Raw genomic sequence first — 24,999 nt, 5'->3', positions numbered from 1 at the left:
CAAACAAACAAAAAATCTTCTAGGTTCTGATCCAACCATTCTACAGTATAGTCCACTAGTTAAAAAAAACACAGGCAGGGTGCAGTGGCTCAAGCCTGTAATCCCAGCACTTTGGGAGGCCAAGGTAGGCGGATCACCAGAGGTTGGGAGTTCAGCCTGACTAACATGGAGAAACCCCATCTCTACTAAAAATACAAAATTAGTTGGGTGTGGTGGAGCATGCCTATAATCCCAGCTACTTGGGAGGCTGAGGCAGGAGAATCGCGTGAACCTGGGAGGCGGAGGTTGTGGTGAGCCGAGATTGCAACTTTGCACTCCAGCCTGGGCAACAAGAGCGAAACTCCATCTCAAAAAAAAAAAAAAAAAAAAGGAAACAAAAAAAAAAACTAAAAAATTTCTTTTATCCTCTTTAAAATTTAGAATTTTGGAAGATGTTTAGAATTTCCCTTTTATCCCTTCATGCATCAAAATGAGGTAAACTAATAACAACGATGGATTCCTTATTTAAACAAAGAATTTTGAGGGTATCATTTAAATTAATAATACATAGAAAATAGAAAAATAAGGCAAGTAGTAATTCTAGGAGTGACAAAAAGTTATATAAGTATATTAATTAAGAGTCATTTCTTGCCTCATAGTAAACAATATGTCAACAATCATAACAAAGTAAGTGGTGAAATTGAATTAGCTAAAAATTGTGATGTATCTATATTCCAGAAGAAAAGGAAAGGAGAAGTGATTGTGGTAATGCTACTAAACCTCATCTTCTATTTATATCAAGTTGATAAAAACTGACAAATTACCAAACAGCAGCGGAAGTCCAGATTCCACCCTGTCCCTGAAACACCAATTCCTGCTTTGCCCTATAGATAACCATTTTTATTAGTTCTTGGATTATTATTATTGTTATCATTATTATTATTTTGAGACAGAGTCTCACTCTGTCGCCAGGCTGGAGTGCAGTGGCGCAATCTCGGCTCACTGCAACCTCCGCCTCCCGGGTTCAAGCGATTCCCCTGCCTCAGCCTCCCCAATAGCTGGAACTACAGGCGCACACCACCACGCCCGGCTAATTTTTTGCGTTTTTTTAGTTGAAACAGGGTTTCACCATGTTGGCCAGGATGGTCTTTATCTTCTGACCTCATGATCCGCCCGCCCCAGCCTTCCAAAGTGCTGGGATTACAGGTATGAGACACCACGCCCAGCCAGTTCTTGGATTATTCTTCCACTATTTAAAAAAACACACACACATACATACACACACACACACACACACACACATATAATCACACATTTCCTTATATATAGTACATATACACGCATATATCATATGTACAGTTGGCCCTTGAACAACATGGGGATGAGGTGCTAATCCTCCACATAATTGCAAATGTTTCTAACTTTTGACTCTCCCAAAACTTAACCAGTAATAGCCTACTGTTGACCAGAAGCCTTATTGAAAACATAGTTGATTAACACATATTTTGTATATGTATTATATGCTGCATTTTTACAATAAAATAACTTAGAGAAAATAAAATGTTATTACAATAATCATAAGGAAAATACATTTACTATTCATTAAGTGGAAGTGGATAATCCTAAACATCTTCATCCTCATTATCTTCACACTGAGTAGGCTGAGGAGGAGGTCGGTCTTGCTGTCTTGGGTGGCAGAGGTGTAAGAAAATCAGCATGTAAGTGGACTCGTGCAGTTTAAACCCATGTTGTCCGAGGGCCAATTGTATTTTTAATATATATTTTATACACACACACACACACACACACACACACACACACACACACACTTCTCTCTCTGTCTCTCTTCCCATCCATTTGCACATAAAAGAGAGTATATTCTAAACAATGTTCTCTACGCTGAGTTTTTTTCACTTACATGTACTGAAACCATGACTTCTCTGACTGTAACTTTAGAGTTCTGACAATAAAATCATGTACATATTTTACATATGAAAAAATAAAAATTAAATCAAAAAAGAAAAAAGCCAAAGCAATCCCTAAAAATAGAAAAAAATTGGAAACAAGCCTACTTATCAAATGAGGGTCATAATCACATAGAAAATTACTTCAAGTAACCTTAAACATAGTAGTTTGACTATATATCCCTATTAGAATATATTCTAAGGAAGAAAACTCAAAAGACATCTTAAATTACGTTTAGTTGTCTTTTTATTATTAGTAATATTAGCATTACTGTTAATTTGAAATTAATATATAAAGAAAGAAGATAGATTAATCAGTGTTACTCCTTAAGGGTCACTGGGCAATGTCTGGAAGGTCTACAGACATTTTTGGTTTCCACAACTGGGAAGATGATGGGGAGAAAGAGGGATGGCGCTACTGTTATCCAGTGAGTAGAAGCAGGCATGCTGCTAAACGTCCCCCAACACACAAGGCAGTCCCCCAGAGCAAAGAATTATCTGGCCCAAAATGTCAATAGTGTCAAGGGTGAGAAATATATATGAATTAAGGAAATAAACATGTAATGAGGAGCCAAGATTTTCAGCATAAAAGGTAAAAGGGCACTATACTTTTTAATTTTAATTGGATGTATCTAAAATTCATATATATTTTTCTTTTTCTTTTTTGTTTTTTTTTTGAGATGGAGTTTTGCTCTTGTTGTCCAGGCTGGAGTGCAATGGCATGATCTCGGCTCACCAAAACCTCCACCTCCCAGGTTCAAGCAATTCTCCTGCCTCAGCCTCCCGAGTAGCTGGAATTACAGGCATGCACCACCACGCCCAACTAATTTTGTATTTTTAGTAGAGACGGGGTTTCTCCATGTTGGTCAGGCTGGTCTCAAACTCCCAACCTCAGGTGATTCGCCTGCTTCAACCTCCCCAAGTGCTGGGATTACAGTCATGAGCCACCGTGACTGGCCTATTTTTTTCTTTTTAAAAGATGCATTTTTCCTAGCTCTGTCCACTTAAAAGCTATAGAACCAATAACTCAGTATTAAAGAGCAACCATAATCCTCAGACTGCAGTCTCCACAATATCATTTCCTGCTAAAAGAGGCAAAAGTTTTTAAAGAAATGGCTATTTCCATGTCTGGAGCGGGAAACTTACAAGATTAACTAAAGATCCCTCTTGCTCAAGATGAGACAATTTGAGTATTAATATATGGGCCTGGTGTGGTGGCTCATGACTGTAATCCCAGCACTTTGTGAGGCCAAAGCGGGCTGATCACTTGAGGCCAAGAGTTCGAGACCAGCCTGGCCAACATGGCGAAACCCAATCTCTACTTAAAAATACAAAAATTACAGGTGTGGTGGCGCACACCTTTAATCCCAGTACTCGGGAGGTGGAGGCACGAGACTCGCTTGAACCCGGGAGGCGGATGTTGCAGTGAGCTAAGATCACACCACTGCTCTCCAGCCTGGGCGACAGAGCAAGACTCTGTCTTCAATATTATAATAATAATAATATATGAAAAATATTTATATGCCTATAATATATTCTGATGCTCAAATTACATAAATTTATAATGATTTAACTTGACAAATTTTGGAAACCTCTAGGACACCAATCATTATTCTAAAAGCTTTTGAAGAGAAAGAGTATTTCTTTTTCCTGGCCTGAGAAACTGTATTTCAGTGCAATCAAATAGTTAATGAGAGAGTTTTTCTCTTTGGGAGAATTTCAGCTAATAAAAGTGAAAGACGCTCAATAAAATAATGGATCTAGGCTATGATGGTCAATAGGTGCTAAAACCCTTAAGTGAAAGGTTGACAGAGATCACTGAAATAGGAGGATTTGGCCTGACAATACATGAATCTACTGATCAATCTCAATTATGTCTGTAAGTGGGACAAACTGACATAAGATGCAATAGGATGTACACAGCATCACCTATGAGGTATACTTGCCAAAGATTTGAATCTGCATTGAATAAAGCCAGATTATAGGAAAAATGGGATAAAGAAGCATGTCAAACACCACCACAAGGAGGTCAAATGGCAAATCCAGAATAAGGTACATCTAGAGCAGGGGTTGGCAAACTATACCCACAGCCTGCTTTTGTATAGTCTGTGAACTAAGAATGTGCAGATTTTATTTGGATCCTGATTCAAATAAACCAACCATAAACAACATTCTTGACACAATGAAATATATAACAGAGACTAAGTAGAAGATGATAGTAAGAAATTATTACTAATGTTGTTAGGTGTGTTAGAAATATTGCAGGATTAAACAAATCTCTTGGCAATACATATGGTAGTATTTAAAAGAAAAGGTAAAGTAGTTCAGCAAAAAAACAAAACAAAACTGGAGTGGGGGTAAGAGAGAAACAGAGTAAACAAATCTAAGAAAATGTCGGTAACTGTTGAAGCTGAGTGATGAATACATGAGGATTCCTTATATTATCTCTCTATTCTTCTTTTTTTTTTTTTTTTTTTGAGACGGAGTCTGGTCCTGTCACCCAGGCTGGAGTGCAGTGGCGTGATCTCGGCTCACTGCAAGCTCTGCCTCCTGGGTTCACGCCATTCTCCTGTCTCAGCCTCCCGAGTAGCTGGGACTACAGGCACCCGCCACCACGCCTGGCTAGTTTTTTGTACTTTTAATAGAGATGGGGTTTCACCATGTTAGCCAGGATGGTCTCGATCTCCTGACCTCATAATCTGCCCACCTTGGCCTCCCAAAGTGCTAGGATTACAGGCGTGAGCTGCCGCGACCAGCTCCTTTATCTCTCTATTCTTATGTTTGAAAATGACTACAGAAACATTTACAGACTGGGTGCGGTGGTGCACGCCTGTAATCCCAGCACTTTGGGAGACCGAGGTGAGTCAGGAGTTCGAGACTAGCCTGACTAACATGGTGAAACCCCATCTCTACTAAATACAAAAAATTAGCCGGGCGTGGTGGTGTATGCCTGTGATCCCAGTTACTTGGCAGGCTGAGGCAGGAGAATCACTTGAACCCAGGAGGCAGAGCTGCAGTGAGCAAAGATCACGCCATTGCACTCCAGCCTGGGCAACAACAGCAAGACTCTGTCTCAAAAAAAAAAAAAAAAATTTACAGAGCAGTATAAACATTTGTTTCAAAATACGTAGGTCGACAACAAAAGAGATAGTTAAAAAAAGTCAAAAATAATTGACTAAAGGAGGTGAAATGTGAGGTCAGAGCACAGCACTGCTATAATCTGACATTTCTACTGGCTCTCTAAAACAAGTAATGTATAAGGTATACTTTGAAAAAACTAAAAATGCATATTAAAAGGGAAAGAAATGGCATGAGAAATAATAACAGCTACATTAGGTTAAGAGAAACAAATGATAACCCAAGTTCTCATTACTTTTGCCTAGATTAACTGTCATGATCCTGACAAGTCTATCTTTTGTGCAGTCTGCATACCACAGGCAAATTAATTTTCATAAAGTTCAAATTCCTTTATTTCTATCTAAACATACTTGAAGATTAGTCTGTCCAAACTAAATACGATCCAAAATTGGTAATAAATATGGAGAGAGCTCCAACTTTCCATCTAATTGTGATTCATTTTTATATGTGCTTAAAGAACAAGGCATATTAGAAATAGGAAGGTCTAATTTTATTGAATAAAAAGTATAAAGCTGATCAGGAGGCAAGCCATCTTTGATTCACCACAGTGTGTTAACAGCAGGTCCTATCATCTTATCCTATGTTTATTTCTCCACACTGAAACTGCCTTTATATCAAATTCCATTGTGTTTTGACTTTTTTCTTTCATACCATCACCCAAAATGATAACATTCCTACATCATTAGTTCTACAATGGTTTTCCACGCCCCTGGAGTTCCATCAGCTGTGGGTAACTTAAAATTCAGATAACTAGATGTGTTTTAACCTTCATATTCTGTTTATCTTATAAACCCCTGCTTATAATTGACCATTGTAACCTTGCTGCCACCATGCACAGGGCAAAACTATAGCTTCAGTGATTAAAGAGGGGAAAAAATAAACTAAATTGACAACAAAATTTTAAAAATAAAAGACAGCAAAAGAGAACATGAATGCTAGCAAAATTCAGAACTTTCTGACTCTACAATGGAAAACTCATCCTTGATTTCACTAATCTCTTACAATCTTCTCTCCTCTAATCAGGCCATGTTTCTAATTTTACCCCCCAAACAGACACGCTAATTTTACTTTCCAAACATTTTGTTATGTTTTCTAATTTTTAATAAGTCTAAATAAGCTATAGATCTTACAGGAAAATGGCTTCAATGCCAAGCTCTTATCAAAAAGAAAAAGAAAGCCTCAATCTTGTTACTCCTTCTACAGCCCTTCTCTTAAAACTTTCTAGGTGTTGTCTGGTTTACTCATTTACTAAATAGACACTTCACATGCAATTTAACATTCAACACTATCTCATGTGACTATGCCCTGTCTTTCTAACTCTAGCCTGATTTCTTCCACGTTTATTTTGAAATCTGTAGGTAAATATTTTAAAACAACCAAAAATAAGAAAAATCTTCCCAAATATAGCTCTACATCAATCATGACTCATTTATAGGAAGAATAAAAGTTTTCTTTCTCCAGGTGGACTAATAAACAAGTGTTAGACATCAAAATATGAAAACATGTAGAAGATAGTATATGTTTTCAGATTCCAACCACTCTGGTAGACGTGTAATAGAATGTTAGTTGAGAGATGGGCAAGACCAATGTAGGCTGGAAATATTGAGGACCATTTATTAGAAAATGATATTAAAGTTAAATAACTGCTAGAACTTAGGTAAGAGCACTCATAATTAATGGCAGAGATATGAAGAGTTTCAAAATTCTGGAGGCATTAAAGATACATATTCCAATGCTGTCATTTCTAGAGTTAAATACCTATTTAATAGCATGAACACAGATATAGCATGAAGGTACTCTGAGGAAAAAGAAGTCTATTGTAATTCAGAACTACTTTGGGTGATGTCCAGTGAGAGATGAGAAAGAAGTCATGTAAAAGATATTTCACAAGGGAAGAAGAAATAAACAATAAACCAGAACCAAGGAAGAATTTGAATCCTTTAGAGAAGCACAAAGAAGAAAGACATTTCCAAGAAGGGTGAAATGGATCAAATACAGCATAGAGGACTTCCTGTTTCAATATGGTAGAATTAAACATCTCTGTCTCCTCTTCACTCTGCAAACATGAAGAAGAAACAGAAAAAGAAAATATATCTTCTGGCCAGATGCAGTGGCTCTTGCCTGTAATCCCAGCACTTTGGGAGGCCGAGGTGGGCGGATCACGAGGTCAGGAATTCGAGACCAGCCTGGCCAACATGGTGAAACCCCGTCTCTACTAAAAGATACAAAAATTAGCCAGGCATGGTCACGCGTGCCTGTAGTCCCAGCTACTTGGGAGGCTGAGGCAGAAGAATCGCTTAAACCCAGGAGGCGGAGGTTGCAGTGAGCTGAGACTGCACCACTGCACTCCAGCCTGGATGACAGAGTGAGACTCCGTCTCAAAAAAAAAAAAAAAAAAAAAAAAAGAAAGAAAATACATCTTCAATGAACCTTAAAGATAGCTAAACTCCATCCCCAGAATAGGAGGAAAGAACAGAAAATAGACTGGATTAGGCAGGGAAGAAACCCAGAGATAGCAGTTCCTGTTTCTTATCTCCAACAAAAAGTACAGGGAACAGAGTTCTCTAAAACAGAGGCACCCCCTTGTGGGCAGAATGAATGAGTCATTTTTTTGCCAGATGTCTTGAAATTGTGGCAGGTACAGAATGGACTTCATCTGGCCCTGACAAATGGTACAAAGGCAGGGCTGAACAAAGAGATGCAAACAGCCAGTATTCTTATATAAGCAGTTTGTTAGCATAGGAAGATGGAAGAGACACTGAGTTCTAGAGGAAGTATGCAAATAATAATCTCTCTTTAACTTGGGAGAATGAAAGGGTAAACCAACTCTCAACACAAAACCTTGTATGATAAAGGAGGTCAGTGTGAGGTATAGAGACTTCTTACCAACTCAGAGTATTTTTCTGGACAGTCTTCAACACTATCCTTCTGTAAACAGTGGCTACAGCAGGAAATACCTTCATCGAAAGATGACAATGATAACCACAAAAGAAACGAGCATGAAATCTATATGACGACATTTCAAGGAACAAAAATCATGAATCCACAAGCTGAAAGGAAAAACTGATACTGATTGATCAATTCCAAGGCATAGCCTCATAAAGCCACTTAAGCTTTAAAGAAAAAGAAACCTATAGGCATCCTGGAAAATAAGTCACCTATGAGGGGAAATAATCAGGCTTCAGACTTCTCCAAGCAACATTTGAATCTAGGAAACAACAGAGAATTGTCTAAATCCCTCAGGTAACTGTCTGTAAAACTCTTTGGAAAAGAAAGTATGGTTCAAGAATTTTACACACAGCCAACTATCAACCAAATGTAAAGGTTAAAAAGATATTTTCCCATATGCAAAACCTCAGGGACTCTAGTTTCCATTAAATTATAAGCTCATAAAGACAGGATTTTGTTTGGTATACTGTTATATATCCATGCCCAGAAGAGTATTTCATCTTTGTTCTTACTACTATAAATGTAGTTTTCTTTCCTTAGTATCTTCTACTTGGTTGTTGAAGTATATATGAAAGCTATTGATTTTTCTTTGTTAATTTGATATCCTACCACCTCACTGAGTTCTGTTACTATTTGTTGTACTTTCTCAATTGGTTTGCTTGTGTTTTCTAGGGATACAATCTCATTATCTGTAAATAAGGATGGTTTTATAGCTTTCTTACCCATTATTATAGTGAAATGTATAAAAGCAACAATGGGAAAACTTGGAAAGCTCCATTTCTAAAGGACACAGAAGTAGATATGAAAATCTGAACAAAGACAGTGTGTGTTCTTAGACAGAAAACATTGGCATTAAAAGGATGTTAAATTTCTGAAAGTTAATTTATATATTTAGCACAATCCCAATAAAAATTCCAACAGGTTTTTCTCTGGAAATAGACAGTTTAGTCTAAAATTCATATGGTAAAATAAATAATCAAAAATAGCCAGGATAACTCCAAAAAAGAAGTGTATGCAACTGTGGAAAGGAAGGGACCATGTCCAGGATAAGAGGAAGATTTACTTTTGCACAAAAGGTATAATATTGGTATTATAGGTATAATATTGGTTACATTGGTTATATCTTTTCAACCAAGGATGGACCTCATGTAGTTTCAAAAAAATTAAAGGAATGGAAGGCAGGAATAAGCAGAAAGGAGATGCCATGGGATTTCTAAGCCAGAAACTTTTACATTTCTAAGCCATGGGATTGTGAGGGTTGTGAAGCACAATGGGAAGTGAAACTATTGTTAACCAAACACAAATCTAAGGCTTTTTAAAAAAGAAAGAAGGAAAGAAATGAAAAGAAACCTAAGTGTGAAACATGTTTTAAAATTACTACACAACCATGAAATACTGAATGCATAAGAAAATGAAACCATAAACATAAAGGAAAGAGAGTGCCCGAGGATCATAGAGAGAGGAACAATAATCCTGAAAGTGAAGCTGTGAATGAATTAGGGAAGGTTGGTATTATGAAATTGGATAGGGCTACTGGCCCTCTACAATTTAAAAGAGGAAAATATCTGCAAAATAGGAAGAATAATACCTAGAAATGTCACAGTAATCTAAAGCACTCCATCCCATTTGTCACTCTAGAAGAATAAGGCCTTTAAGAAAATCTTGGAAATTGTGAAATGATATCAACCCTTCACTGAACAACTCTCATGTGGCTTTCTCATTCAGAGCTGCTTTTCACTTATTCACCTGGACAGTGCCTCCCAAACATTTCTTCCTCCATCACCCAGGGCTCCTCTTCTTGCTCCAACTTGAATATCACATCCGGTTTGGTGACTTGACAGCCTATTACAAGAAATAGCAAAGGATGTGGATGTCAATGCTGGAGACAACCATTCAGATCTTAGGCTAAGTCCAAGCTTGAGGGCTTATAAAAGATGAGGATGAATGAACTTACACAATGACACAAAGTAATCAGCCTTTAACACTGAAGAGTGGAGCACATATAGTCACATGGAGAAAGGAAAGGCTAGATTCATCTGGCAAGTTACAGTCTTCACACATTTCAGAAATGGAAAAGAATTCTCTGTTAAATTGCAAGGCTACCAAGCCACCTTACCCACTGTGACTAGGTTGCTGTAGTTCTCCAGCATCACATCTCGATACAAGTTTCTTTGAGCAGGTTTCATTTGCTCCCACTCCTCCTGGGTAAGGTCAACAGCCACATCCTTAAATGTCACTGTTTCCTGTAAAAACATAATGCTAATTAATTTGAAGTCATCAAAATTAGGCATTGTGATCACAACATACAAGAACTTGTTTAGCTGGTACTCAGGGGTCAGAGGTAGGAGTACTAGAAGAAGAAGAGAGAAAGGTGCAGAAAAAACATTCAAAGAAATAATGGTTGGACATTTCCCAAATCTGACAAAAAACATTATACATTCAAGAAGCTCAATGAACTCCAGGTAAAATAAATGTAAGAGGCCCACAGTCAGATATACCATAGCAAAAATGTTGAAAACCAGAGATAAAGAGAGAATCTTCAGAGCAAATTTGGAATAGAGTAAGCAATGACACAAGATTTACTAGAACTTGAATCAACACAAACAAATGGTAAATAAGGTTAATATAATAAACATAATACATATTTGCTCTCTTTTCTCAGCTTCTTTAAGTGATGCAACATTATATGCAGTAGTAATTATAATAATGGGTTGAGTCTGTAACATATATAACAATAATAGTACAAAACAAGGGAAGAGGGAATAGAGCTACATAAGACCAACATTTCCATATCTTAATGGAACTTAGTATAAATCTGAAGTAGGTTCTGATAAGATACATAGTATCCAAGTCCTAGAGCAACCACTAAGAAAATATAGTGAAAAATCATTAAAGAAATTATAATTTTATACTGGAAAATATTTGCTTAGTGAAAAGAAAGCAGTAAAGGAGAAACAAAAAATGACATGAGACATATGGAAAACAAAAAGGAAAATGGCAGACATAGCCCAATAATTTTAGTGTTACCATTAACTCTGAATGGATTAAACAGGCCAAAAAAAAGGACAGATTGTCAGATTGGATAGAAAAACAGAATTCAACTACATGCTGTCTACAGGAAATACATTTTAGGTTCAAATATACAAATAGCTTGAAAATAAAGTGATGGAAAAAACACAGCATGCGAACAACCATAGAAAGCTAGAGTGGATATACTAATATCAGACAAAATAGAATTTAAAACAAAACTGTTACTAAAGGACATTTTATAATGATAAAAGGGTCAATCTGGCAGAAAGATATAACAATTATATATGCATCTAACAGTCTTAAAATACCTAAAGCAAAAATACAGAATTGAAGGCAGAAACTGGCAATTTAACAATAATTTTTGGAGACTCCAAACACTACTTTTTTTTTTTTTTTTTTGATACAGAGTCTCAGTCTGTCGCCTAGGCTGGAGTACAGTGGCACGATCTCGGCTCACTGCAACCTCTGCCGCCCAAGTTCAAGCAATTCTCCTGCCTCAGCCTCCTGAGTAGCTGGGATTACAGGCGCCTGCCACCGCACCCGGCTAATTTTTGTATTTTTAGTAGAGATGGGGTTTCACCATCTTGGCCAGGCTGGTCTTTAACTCCTGACCTCGTGATCCACCCGCCTCAGCCTCCCAAAGTGCTGGGATTACAGACGTGAGCCCCCGAACCCAGCCCAAACACCACTTTTAATAATGGATACAACTAGGCAGATTATAAGCAAGAAAATAGAAGACTCAAACACCATATACCAACCAGATCTAACAGACACCTATAGAACACACCACTCAACAGAATATACATTCTTCTCAAGTGTATAGAGCACTCTCCAAGATAGAAAATATGTTAGTCTATAAAAGAAGCCTCAATAGGCCCAGCTACACAGGAGGCTGAGGCAAGAGGATCACTTGAGCCCAGGAGGTTAAGGCTATAGTGAACTATAATTATGTTTGTGAACAGCTACTGAATTTCAGCCAGGGAAACACAGCCAGACCTGTCTCTTAAAAAAAAAAAAAGCCTCAATAAATTTTAAGAGAATTGTGTAAAGTATGTTCCTTGATCACAATGGGCAAAAATTAGAAATCACTAACAGAAAGAAATTTGTGAAATTCAAAAATATGTAAAAATTAAACAATATTCTGAAATAACCAATGGATCAACAAAATCACAATGGAAATTACAAAATACTTTGAGGTAAAAGAAAATGAGGGTGCAACATACCAAAACTTATGGAATGCCATTAAAGCAAGTTTTAGAGGGAAACCTATAGCTGTACACACTTTATTAAAAAAGAAGAAAGATTTCAAATCAATAAACTAACTTTCTACCTTAAAATACTAGAAGAGGGCTGGGCGTGCCCATAATCTGGCACTCTGGAAGGCCGAGGCAGGCGGATTGCTTGAGCCCAGGAGTTCAAGACCAGCCTGAGCAACATGGTAAAACCCCATCTCTACAAAAAATACAAAAACTTAGTAGGGCGTGGTGGTGTATGCCAGTAGTCTCGGCTACTGGGAGCTTAGGGGACCGGGCTGAAGTGGCAGGATCACCTGAGCCTGGGAGATCAAGGCTGCACTGAGCCATGATCATGCCACTGCACTTCAGCCTGGGTGACAGAGTGAGACTCTGCCTCAATTAAAAAAAAAAAAAAAAAAGATACTAGAAGAAGATGATCAAACTAAATCCAAAGTAACTAAAAGGAAATAAGCAAACATCAGAATGGAAATCAAAGAAATTTAGACTAGAAAAACATTAGAGAGAATCAATAAAACTAAAAATTGACAAAATGGACAAATATCACTGACAAGAAGACTCAAAATACAAAAATCAGGAATGAAAGAAGAAACATTACTACTAATCTTACAGAAATAAACAGGAATACAAAGAAATATTATGAATAAATATATGCCAACAAACTAGAGTAGATGAAATGAATGAATTTCTAGAAAGACACAAACTGATTAAACTGCAACAAAAAGAAAAGATGAAAAGACTTGTAACAAGAGACTGAATTACTAAAAAAAAAAAAAAAAAACAAAAAAACAAAACAAAAAAAAAAACCTACCCAAAAGAAAAACTCAGGCCTAGATGGCTTCACTGGTGAATTTTAACAAACAACAAAAAAATTAATACTAACTTATTTACAAACTCTTCCAAAACAAAGAGGATGAATAAAAGGAGGGGACACATCTTTTATGAGGCAAGTATTACCCTAATACTAAAACCTGACAAAGAACATACACACACACACACGCACCACCCCCCAAAAAAACACTAGAGCCCACTCTCTCTTATTAATAGAGAGGTAAAAATCCTCAATGCTAACAAACCTAATCCAACAACATATAAAAAGTATTATGGACCATAACCAAGTAGGATTTACCCCAGCAGAATGCAATATTAATTTAACATCTGATAATTAATGTAATACATCATACCAATATAATAAAGGTCAAAAACCATAAGATCATCTCCGTAAATGCAGAAAAAGTAGTCAACAAAATCCAACACCCTTTTATCATTGAAAACAAACAAACAACAACAACCAAAAAACCCAACATCCAACAAATTAGCAAATAAGCAAAAGAAGGGAACTTCCTCAACATGATATAGGGCAACTACAAAACCCCCACATCATAATAAATGGTGATAAAAAACTTCACCAGGGAAGAGAATAGTCTTTTCAACAAATGATGCTGGGACAACAACTGGACTGTCTGCATGCAAGGGAATGAAGGTGGATCATGCCGTATACAAAGGTTAACTCAAAATGGATCAAAGATCTAGCTGTAAGAGCTTAAAAAAAAAAAAAAAAGGTCTCAGAATACATAGTTGTAAATTATGACCTTCAATTGAATTAGGCAATGGTTTATTAGATATGACACCAAAAGCACAAGCAACAAAAGAAAATTAAATAAAAATGGACATCAGAACAACTAAAAATTTTTGTGCTTCTAAGGACATCATCAAGAAAGTGAAAAGACAACCCAGAGGATAGGATAAAATATTTCCAAATCATTTATCTGATGACACTTGAATATGTACAGACCTCTTAAAAGTTCAATAATCAAAAGACAAACCAATTAGAAGTGGGCAAAGGCTCTGAATAGACAATTCTTCAAAGAAGATATATTAATAAAAATGGCCAACAAACATAGGAAATGGTGTTCAACATCACAAGTTATACAGTACGTGTAAATCAAAATCTCATGAGCTTTACTTCACACCCACTAGGACAGCTATAACCAAAGGACAGATAAGAACAAGTGCTGATGGAGAAACTGGAATCCTCATACACAGCTGGTGGGAATGTAAACTAGCACAACTGCTATGGAAAACAGTAGGGCAATTCTGTTTTTTTTTTCTGGGGACGGAGTTTCGCTCTTGTTGCCCAGGCTGGAGTGCAATGGTGTGTGGTCTTGGGTCACTGCAACCTCTGCCTACCAGGTTCAAGTGATTCTCCTGCCTCAGCTTCCCAAGTAGCTAGGATTACAGGCATGTGCCACCAGGCACGGCTACTTGTTTTTTATTTTTAGTACAGACAGGGTTTCACCATGTTGGTCAGGTGGGTCTTGAACTCCTGACTTCAGGTGATCTGCCCATCTCAGCCTCCCAAAGTGTGGGATTACAGGCATGAGCCATTGCACTCGGCTAACAGTGGGGCAATTCTTTAAAAGGTTAAGCATAGAGTTGCCATATGATCTAGCAATTTCATTTCTATGTACAAACTTCAGAGAAGTGAAAACATATGACCACATAAAAACTTGTACATCAATGTTCTTATCAGCATTATTCATAATAGCCTAAAAGGGGAAATGAATCAAATTTCCATTAATCAATGAATAAAGAAAATGTGGTATATCCCTACAAGAGAATATTATTCAGAAATAAAAAGTACTCGTACAAGCTACAAAATGCATGAAACTTGAAAACATAATGCTAAGCGAAAGGCAACACAAAGGATAACAGTTTATCATATGACTCAATTTACATTAAATGTCCAAAATAGGCAAATCCATAGAGCTAGAAATCATTTATTCTTGCCTACATCAGAGCCTTAAGGGAAAACAGGAAGTGAAAGCTAACAGGTAAAGGGTTTCTTTTCAGGGTGATGAAAATGTTCTAACATTGATTATGGTGATGGTTGCACAACTCTGTGAATACACTAAAAACCACTCACTTGTATACTTTAAATGGGCTAATTTTATAGTATGTGACTTATATGTTAATAAAGTTTTTTTAAGTTATAAGACTATATTTCAATATGTTTAAAGTTTAAAAAATCTCAGTGAAGCTGGGAATAGTAGCTCACACCTATAATCGTAGCACTTTGGGAGGCTGAGGCAGGAGGACTGCTTGAGGCCAGGAGTTCGAGAACAGCCTTGGTAACATAGTGAGACTCCATCTCTACGAAAAATAAAAAATAAAAAAATTAGCCAGGCATGATGGCACATGCCTATCATCTAGCTACTCGGGAGGCTGAGGCGGGAGGATCACCTGAGCCAAGTTCATGCCACTGTACTCCAGCCTGGGCAACACAGCAAGTCCTGGTCTCAAAAACAAACTCAACAAAAAATAATTCCATTAGAAAATATTACTGTGATAAATTGATTATTCAGCGAGTCTTCACTTCCTGCCTGTACTAATGTCCCATCTACTAATGTGGGCCTTGTCTGAGCCCTTTGTTGGGGCAAAAGGAATGTCAGTAAACATGATGTGAGCAAAGGCCTGAAATTTGCTTACACCCTTTACCTTGGCTCATGTGCTCCAGTGAGACAGCAAATGAAGACCTTGGCCCAGGAAGCTGTGCCATTTCAGCTGAAACTCAGAATGAATATATGCAGAGCAGACACAAGCCCACTGTGGAGCCTAAGCCAAGGCCAGCTGATCTGCAGCCCAAAGCAGAGATGCCCACATAGTTAACCTGCAGACCCCAAGGATAAGAATGAACGCCTGTTTTCTATTCACAAAAGCAGCAGAAAGGCTGAACAGACATGTGACTGACACATTTCTGACTGAAAAAAAATGCTGAAATACTAAACTTTCAAAACGGAGCTGGGTTTAGATATTTTTTACCAGTTAATAGGCTGTGGTATCCAATGTCATGGGTTCAAACTCTGGCTTCAAAATTTACTAATTGTGTTACCTTGACAAATAGCCAAACTTGAGTCTCAGTTTCCTCATCTATAAAGTGGAATTCTCCTTAAAGGGTTGATGTGAAGACTAAATAACACAGTAAATGTGACTCAGAACAGAGCTTGACACAATAATCAACTGATGAATGTTTCAGAAATAGATAATCCCTCTGGAATATACACCACAACAAAGATAGGGGAAAACTACAAAAAGAGAAAACATTTTTTAAATTAGTGCTAACAAATCAGCACAAAAACATTTTCCCACCAACTCTAGTAACTTAGCATAAATCTCATATAAAAAGATTGCACCCCTGGCCAGGCGCGGTGGCTCATGCTTGTAATCCCAGCACTTTGGGAGGCCGAGGCGGGCGGATCACGAGGTCAGGAGATCGAGACCATCCTGGCTAACATGGTGAAACCCCATCTCTACTAAAGATACAAAAAATTAGCCGGGTGTGGTGGCGAGCGTCTGTAGTCCCAGCGACTCGGGAGGCTGAGGCAGGAGAATGGCGTGAACCTGGGAGGCGGAGCTTGCAGTCAGCCAAGATTGTGCCATTGCACTCCAGCCTGGGCGACAGAGCGAGACTCTGTCTCAAAAAAAAAAAAAAGAAATTGCATCCCTGACAAAAGCCATAAGTAACAAAATACCAAGAAGTAAAATATGCTTTAATTTTTGACTGTATAAAATGATGAGTCAGTCTTTACAATAGGGTCTATTTTCCCAAGATGTTGATTCTCTTCACATACAAATGTTAAGAAATTCAGTATTAATAGCAAGAAACATAGGGGTTCGAACCTTAAAAAACATAAATTCACAGTTCATGTCATTAAGTTTTATTCCTTCTCCTGTCAAACAGAACCAAAAAAAAAAAAAAACATGAACACGCTTCTGCCCCTGGCAAGAGGCAATAATATTTCCAATGTTCTTGCTGGTACCACAGCACCTTCCTCTCCTTCACTTTTTTTTTTCTTTGAAACTGGGTCTCGCTCTGTCACCTAAGCTGGAGCAGTGCCACAATCATAGCTCACTGAAGACTCACTGCTGAGCTCAAGCAATCCTCCTGCCTCAGCCTCCTGAGTAGCTGGGACTACACATGTGAGCCACCAAACCTAGCTAATTTTTTTTTTTTTTTTTTTGAGACGGAGTCTTGCTCTGTCGCCCAGGCTGGAGTGCAATGGTGCGATCTCGGCTCACTGCAACCTCTGCCTCCTGGGTACAAGTGATTCTCCTGCCTCAGCCTCCCAAGTAGCTGGGACTACAGGTGTGTACGACCACACCCGGCTAATTTTTTGTATTTTTAGTAGAAACGGGGTTTCACCATGTCAGCCAGAATGCTCTCGATCTTCTGACCTCATGATTCACCCGCCTCAGCCTCCCAAAGTGCTGGGATTACAGGCGTGAGCCACCACGCCTGGCCACACCCAGCTAATTTTTTAAAATTTTTTGTAAAGACTGGGTCTTGCTGTATTGATCCAGCTGGTCTCAAACTCCTGGCCTCAAGTGATCCTCCAGCTGTGGCCTCCTAAAATGCTGGGATTACAGGTGTGAGCCACCATGCCTCGCTTTCTTCACTTTTAAGATACATAATAGAATATAATTGTTTAAAATAACAAAGTTTACAGTGAGGGAATAAAGATAACTACAAGTCAGTTCTGGGTGTATATGTTGACTGGCAACTTTTTATAAAATTTTTTTTTCCCTAAAGTTATGTAAGCATTAAACAAATATTCTTCTTTTAAAAACTTAGAGCATGGCACATGACATTCTTTTATACTTTTCCTGGCCATTCTGCATGTTTTTATTTTTCAAATGTATTCTAGACTCGGCTCAAATAAACTTGTCTAATTCTAAGAAAAATAATTTAGAATTGTTATTGAGATTCTGATCAATCTATGTAGGTTAAAGACAATTTATATTAATTTAATAATGATGGCTCTTATCCAAAAAAGGGTATTTAAAAAATTTGTTCAAATCCTCTATCTCAGTAATAATTTGAAGGTTTCATTCTCCCATGTACACCACATACATTTTATTTTTTTCTTTCGGGTTTTTTTCTAGTCTGAGCATCATTCTTCCATTTCATTTTTGATGGTGTGGTTTATAGAGAAAAATGGTATTGATTTTTGTATATTAATTTTGTGTCCATATTTCAATCATTCTTGTGTTTCTCTTCTGTTGCCTAAAAACATAATTGTATCACTTAGATATCATAATTTTGAATGCACCATCCTGCTTTTTACTTCATTTCCCTCCCCTTACTTATGTCTAGGCATACAAAATCGTAGTAGTAGCACTGGCAAGCTGGTTGTGTTCCTGACTAGTAGGAAAGTGCCTAATTTTTACAAGTAAACATGGTACTAGCTTGTAGCTTATTATCTGCACATATATATGTGTTGTATGCGTGTGAATAATTTCTTAAAATATCATAAGAAAATGTTCTTTTACTTTTACTTTATAAATAGGTCCTTTTGAAATCACAGGTTCTGAGTTAAAAAAATTTTCAGCTCTATAGATCTGATTGTTTTTCTCTTGAATATAATAATTTATATTAATAGATTCCCTTAAATGGAAACATCTTTAATTGTGACAGAAAATATCTTTCGGGACAGGTGCAATGGCTCATGCCTGCAATCCTAGTACTTTGGGAGGCTGAGGCAGGTGGATCACTTGAGGTCAGAATCACTTGAGGTCAGCCTGGCCAACATGGCGAAACCCTATCTCTACTAAAAATGCAAAAACTTAGCCAGGCATGGTGGTGTACCCCTGTAATCCCAGCTGCTTGGGAGGCTGAGGCATGAGAATCACTTAAACCCGGGAGGTGGAGGTTGCAGTGAGCCAAGATCGTGTCACTGCACTCAAGCCTGGGCAACAAAGCAAGACTTCATCACCAAAAAAAAAAAAAAAAAAAAAAAAAAAATATATATATATATATAATATATATATATATATATATATATATACACACACACACACACATATATCTTTATATATATATATATTTATATATTTTTTATATATATGTATTTTTTGCTTAATTCTTCTCCAACTAGTTGTGCAATTCAATGGAAATCCCCAATAGGATTTCTTCCTAGAACTAGATAAACTAATTCTAAAATTCAAATGGAAGCCCAGAGGTCCCAAAGTAGCTGAAAAATTTTTGAAAAACTAAGAATAATGTGTGTGCATAAAGAAGTGGTGAAATCATTGCCCATATAAAGTAATTGTAATTAAACCAATGTAAAACACACACACACAAAGTACAGTACTGATATAAATGTAGACAAATAGATTACAGAAAAAGTAAAAGCCTAGAAACCATCATGTATGTATACAGTAAAGGTGGCATCACAAAGGAAAGATCTACTTAATAAACGGTGTTGGAACAACTGGTCTTCTACATGCAAAGATAATTCTACTAATAGAATTATCAGTAAATTCCTATCTCAAACCAATTACAATATTATAATCCAGTTGGATTAAAGACTAAATATGGAAAACAATGCTTTGAACAGAGATTATCTCTATGATCTAATATTAATTAGGAAAGATATCTTAGAAAAGATTAACATTGGCAACTCATGAGAAAAGACTACTAAATATTAATAGTTGCATATTTTGACTGAATTCTATTATGTATACATATTTATCATACACTAAATGTAACTATCCAAACTTCAATGTCTATACAACAAAAAATAAATAACATAAAAATGACAGATTGGGAGAAGGTAGCTGCATAAATCCTAAGTCCTAATACTGAAATAGACATTCTTAAAATATTCTAATTTCGAATACAGAAAAAACTATTATTACAAAATAGACAAACAATATGAATGGGTAATTGGCTTTTGTATTTCTTCACTCATAATGAGCCTCCATCTGTACAGTATCGTAGAGTGTGGGCCCTAGAGTCAGACTGTATGGATTTGAATCCTGGGTTTATGACACATTGATGCACGATGTTATGTAAGCTTAACCTCTGTGCTTCATTTCCCTTATCTTAAAAAATTTAAATAATATGTACTTCATAGACGTCTGATAATAATTACATGAAATAAGCTATGTAAAGCACAATACATCTGGCACATAGTAAGAACTCAATAAAGCTGTAACAGTTGGTTCTCCATATCTGTGGGTTCAATATCCATGGATTCAACCAATGGCAGACCAAAAATATTTGAGAAAAAAATAACAATGCCTATCATTTATGGGGTACTTGTTACATGTATTTAACCCTCCCAACATTCCTGTGGGATAAATACCATTATCATCCCCATTTATAGACTTACAGATGATGTAACTGAGTCACAAAAAGATTAAGAAACTTGTCCACAGTCATGCACTTCATAAGTCACTGAGCCAAGATTTAAACTCAAGCCTGTCGAGGGCCAGAGAGGTTTGCTAGGGCCACCGCGCCAACAGAAGTAACTGGATGAGCCATATGATCATATGGTCAAAAGAAGTATGTGTGTATATTTCATGATGTGAAAGACATAAGCTGAAGAAAAAGAGGCAGTTAAGCAGAAAACATTCAAAATATAGGTGTGTGAGTGACTTCAGAGGTGGAAACAAAAAGAATCAAGAGCAGAGAATACGTAATTTTGTAAGATGAGGATGAAGACTATATCTTCTGAGACCATAAAAAAGATGTGAAAAGCTATGGATATCAGAACTATAAGATTCTGCCATAGAATATTAGTATAATTTAGCTCAACTTGGATTAAAAACTCAATTGAAGAAAATATATACGTAGGATCATTTGAAAGATATGTGTTCCACTTACTCTTCCAGGTAATTTGAATTTTTGAAGTTTGGCCAAGACCAACTTCTAAAAGCTAAGCTAAAAATTGTAAGAATTAAGGAATTACAGTCGTCCCTAGGAAACCATGTAGAATTGGTTCCAGGACCCCCCACGGATACCAAAATCCACTGATGCTCAAGTCCCTTATATAAAATGGTGTAGGATTTGTACGTAACCAATGTACGTCCTCCCGTATACTTTAAATCGTCCCTAGATTACTTATAAAACCTAATATAATGTGATTTCTATGTAAATAGTTGTTACACTATGTTGTTTAGAAAACGACAAGAAAAAAGTCTGTACATGTTCAGTACAGATACAACCACCCATTTTTTTTTCAAGTATTTTTGATTTGCAGTTGGTTCAATCTATGGATGCAGAATCTACAGATACAGAAGTCCAACTATATTTTAGAGTTTCTTTTTGAACAAGGTGCCAGTTAAAAGCCTTTTACTTAAATAATTGTAAGTTTTTCCTCATAAATGGTGCAACTTATGGACTTACGGAATAAACTTAAGTGTCCCAGTTTGCTTTGACTGTCCAGATCATATTTAAATTTGAACTCAACTTTAATAATTCTGTATGTACCTGCTTCTGCATAGCCATATCTCAAATTTCCCCAGGTTCTGATTTTCTATCTGTATTTTTTCTCACTTTTATTTTCATCAATTTATTTTTTCCAACACATTGGTAGGTTACAAGAACCCACCGTAACTGCACTGCAAAATAATGCAGGAAACAAATAAATGCTTAAGACGTACAAGAGGCCTGGTTGTATCCTCTTCTTCCTCGGAAAGGGCAGACTCTTGAGAACACCAAGCTGAGGGAAGAGAAATGAAACAGATTTGCTTCAAAGTTTCAGACAAAGGAATATAGAAATCTTCAGTACCAGGTGGCTAGAAGACCCTCTACAGATGAATGATCCTTGAAGCAATAAGAAATGTTAACTGCCATCTAGCTATAGACACTGAAATGGACACAGATGGCTAATTTAATCATATGGGGTCTGATGGGGATTTATGGAGGGCTAAGTATGCAGTGCCCAATGAATCTATTGGCAATATTTTATCTCCCTAGAATCTTGCTGTTTTATTTCTAACAGGAAGTTTATCTTAAGTACATAATAATAGTTACCCCAAAAATTTAAAGATTGGGATGATCTTTAAAATTTTTTTTTCTTTTTTTTTTTGAGATGGAGTCTCACTCTGCCGTCCAGGCTGGAGTGCAGTGGCCTGATCTCTGCTTACTGCAACCTCTGCCTCCCAGGTTCAAGCGATTCTCCTGCCTCAGCCTCCCACGTAGCTGGGATTATAGGCATCCACCACCATGCCTGGCTAACTTTTTTGTATTTTTAGTAGAGAAGGGGTTTCACCATGTTGGCCAGGCTGGTTTCGAACTCCTGACCTCAAGGGATCCATTTGCCTCGGCCTCCCAAAGTGCTGGGATTACAGGCGTGACGCCGCGCCTGGCCTAAAATGTTATTTTTTAACCATAAAAAATTTAGGGCCAGGCGCGGTCGTCACGCCTGTAATCCCAGCACTTTGGGAGGCCAAGGCGGGCGGATCACGAGGTCAGGAGTTCGAGACCAGCTTGGCCAATATGGCGAAACCCTGTCTCTACTAAAAATACAAAAATTCGCTGGGCGTAGTGGCGTGCGCCTGTAGTCCCAGCTACTTGGGAGGCTGAGGCAGGAGAATCGCTTGAACCCGGAAAGTGCAGGTTGCAGTGAGCCGAGATCACACCACTGCACTCCAGCCTGGGCGACAGAGCGAGACTCTGTCTCCCCCTCAAAAAAAATAATTTAGAAAAAAACCTTCATCAGAGACTGGCTATAGGTAATGTGGAACATTGATAAGATAGGATGCAATACAGTCATGTTTCTAATGACATTTTTAAAAAACTTGATTTATTTTTTACCCTAAAAAATTCAGGGCCTTTTGGTTAAAAATAAAAGCCTGAATACCTGCATTTATTAATATTTCCACTCTCTCCCAAACCAATCATAATGTTAATAAAGGAAAAAAGGAGGCTAAAACTCATAAGGACAAAGAATATAGAAGATTTCCACAGATAAGAGCTGTCAACAAAATGTGGGAAGCTAAAGAGCAGACAAATGAGTGGTATCTAACTTAACCAGAGAAAGCTGAAGCTTAAGTGAAGGTGGGAGGAGGGTGGGGAAGCCATGACAAGACCCTAGAAAGGTTCAGGAATGGAGCTACTAATTACTTCTGTGGACTAGAGTTTGGGAGTAGGGCTGAAAAACATAAAACCGAATGTAAGATGTCATAAAAAGATGTTAAAACCACCTGATGTTTTCTTTCACCCAACATGGCATAGTCACATTTCCCTCACATTGGCAACAGAAAAAAATTAAAGATTATTTCTCTAGATAAACTGAATGAGACAAGCTCTGAATTTCAGGCATACCAGATGCAGATAAAGGTGGGGTTGAAGCAATGCAGAGAGAAAAGAATTAAAGTTCTCATATTGCAAGATGAGGTGTCCAACATGCTCACTTCCTTCGTCTCCCAAAAAGCAGGAGTTCTGGCTTGTACTTCTCAAGCAAAATCTAGGACTTCTTGCTGGGGAAACTGACTAGCCCAAAAGAAAATGCTTACAGATGCTGACATCTGGTCAACCTTCAACCTCCAAAAAATAATACCATATTAGAAAGAAGGGCAAGGAGAAGAGTGTGTTGGGGTGGAGATGAAACGGAAGGGGTTAGGTAGTGAAAGAGAGCTAAATCCTTAACTTCATTATCAAAAATCAACAGGAAATATCTAAAACTGAGAAATGAAGCATTAGCAGTGTAAGAATGTTATTTAGAAAAAAGGAGGTGAATACCAGAATATTGAGACAAAAATGTTCAAAGTGGTTGCCTTTCAGGAATGGGGACAGGGAACCAGGATGGATGGAATAGGAAGCTTTTGTTTATGTTATAGTACAGCATTTAAAGATATACTTAAACATACTCTTAAGAAATAAAAATTGCATTTCAAAATTTATTTTAAAAAATCAAATAGTCAAATGAATATGATTAAAAACAAATGTCTCCCCTGCCTAGTCAATTAACATACGTGACCTTTCTCAGTAGGAGTAATGAATTTCTTTTCACTGTCCCCAAATGTAGAGCCTTTCTCTCCTAAGCTCTGTCCACCTATGAGCCACCTCACCTTTCCTTTCCATCATGTGGCTCAAACGCTCCATTGTCACACAGCTATTGCTGATCACTGAAGATTGAGATGTCATTCAGACCCTGCCTGCTCTGGGCAGAAGGGTCAAGACAAGCTCCAGCAACTCCAGGGTCCACTCTCTTTCAGGACTCTCCAGCCTCTAAGGCAGGTCTCAGGTCAGGTCTCCTTCCATGATAAGACACCTGTTCCTCAGACTTCTATTTGCACTGCAGATGTGTTTTATCCTTGTGGAACCAGGACCTGTGGATTAGGATATAAATCTAATTTACCTGGTGCCTTCTCACTGGCTCCCTGTGATAACCAGCTTCCAAGATGGCCCCCAGTGACCACCGTCTTCTGGTATTCATGCCTTTGTAGATCCCTCCCACCATGAGTACCTTTGACCTGCATAACCAATAGGATATTGCAGAAATGATGGTGTGTGACTTCTAAGGTTAGGTTATAAAAGACATTAGGGCTTCTGTCTTGCACATTTGGATCATGGATGTTGAGGGAAGCCAGCTGCCATACCATGACAACACTCAACCAGCCCTAGGGAGAGGCCTCCTGTTGACAGCTAACACTAACTTGGAAGCCAGCTATCTTGGAAGTGAACCCTCCAGCCCCAGCCCAGCCTTCTGATGACTGCAGCCCGGCTGACAACTTGACTGCAACTTCATGAGATACCCAAGCCCAAATACGCAGTGAAGACACTTCCCACAGAAATTGTGAGATAATGTTTATTGTTGTTTAAGCCACTAGTTTTTGAGGTAATTTGTTACACACTAATAGATAATATAGCCTCAAACACTAATCTTCCTTATTTG

At 37.6% G+C, this 24,999-nt stretch overlaps 1 protein-coding gene across 8 annotated transcripts in view; it reads right to left on the bottom strand.

The window, feature by feature from the left end:
• ZNF568 (zinc finger protein 568) overlaps positions 1-24,999 on the bottom strand; it is an 81,601-nt gene that overhangs the window by 50,914 nt on the left and 5,688 nt on the right. For 5 of the 8 annotated variants that reach the window (NM_001204838.2, NM_001204835.3, XM_047438787.1 and 2 more), the window contains 4 exons: positions 24,173-24,433; positions 21,761-21,819; positions 10,147-10,273; positions 9,777-9,872 (listed from right to left, as the gene is read on the bottom strand). In NM_001204838.2, the coding sequence (NP_001191767.1) occupies positions 9,777-9,872; positions 10,147-10,273; positions 21,761-21,819; positions 24,173-24,248 (358 nt within the window). In that variant the 5' untranslated portion in view covers positions 24,249-24,433. The remainder of the gene's footprint in view (positions 1-9,776; positions 9,873-10,146; positions 10,274-21,760; positions 21,820-24,172; positions 24,434-24,999) is intronic. The other 3 variants (NM_001204839.2, NM_001204836.2, NM_001204837.2) reach the window with 2 other exon arrangements.

This window comes from Homo sapiens, chromosome 19 (genome assembly GCF_000001405.40).
Source record: "Homo sapiens chromosome 19, GRCh38.p14 Primary Assembly".
Taxonomy (NCBI): domain Eukaryota; kingdom Metazoa; phylum Chordata; class Mammalia; order Primates; family Hominidae; genus Homo; species Homo sapiens.
This window is presented reverse-complemented; position numbering and strand designations above follow the sequence as displayed.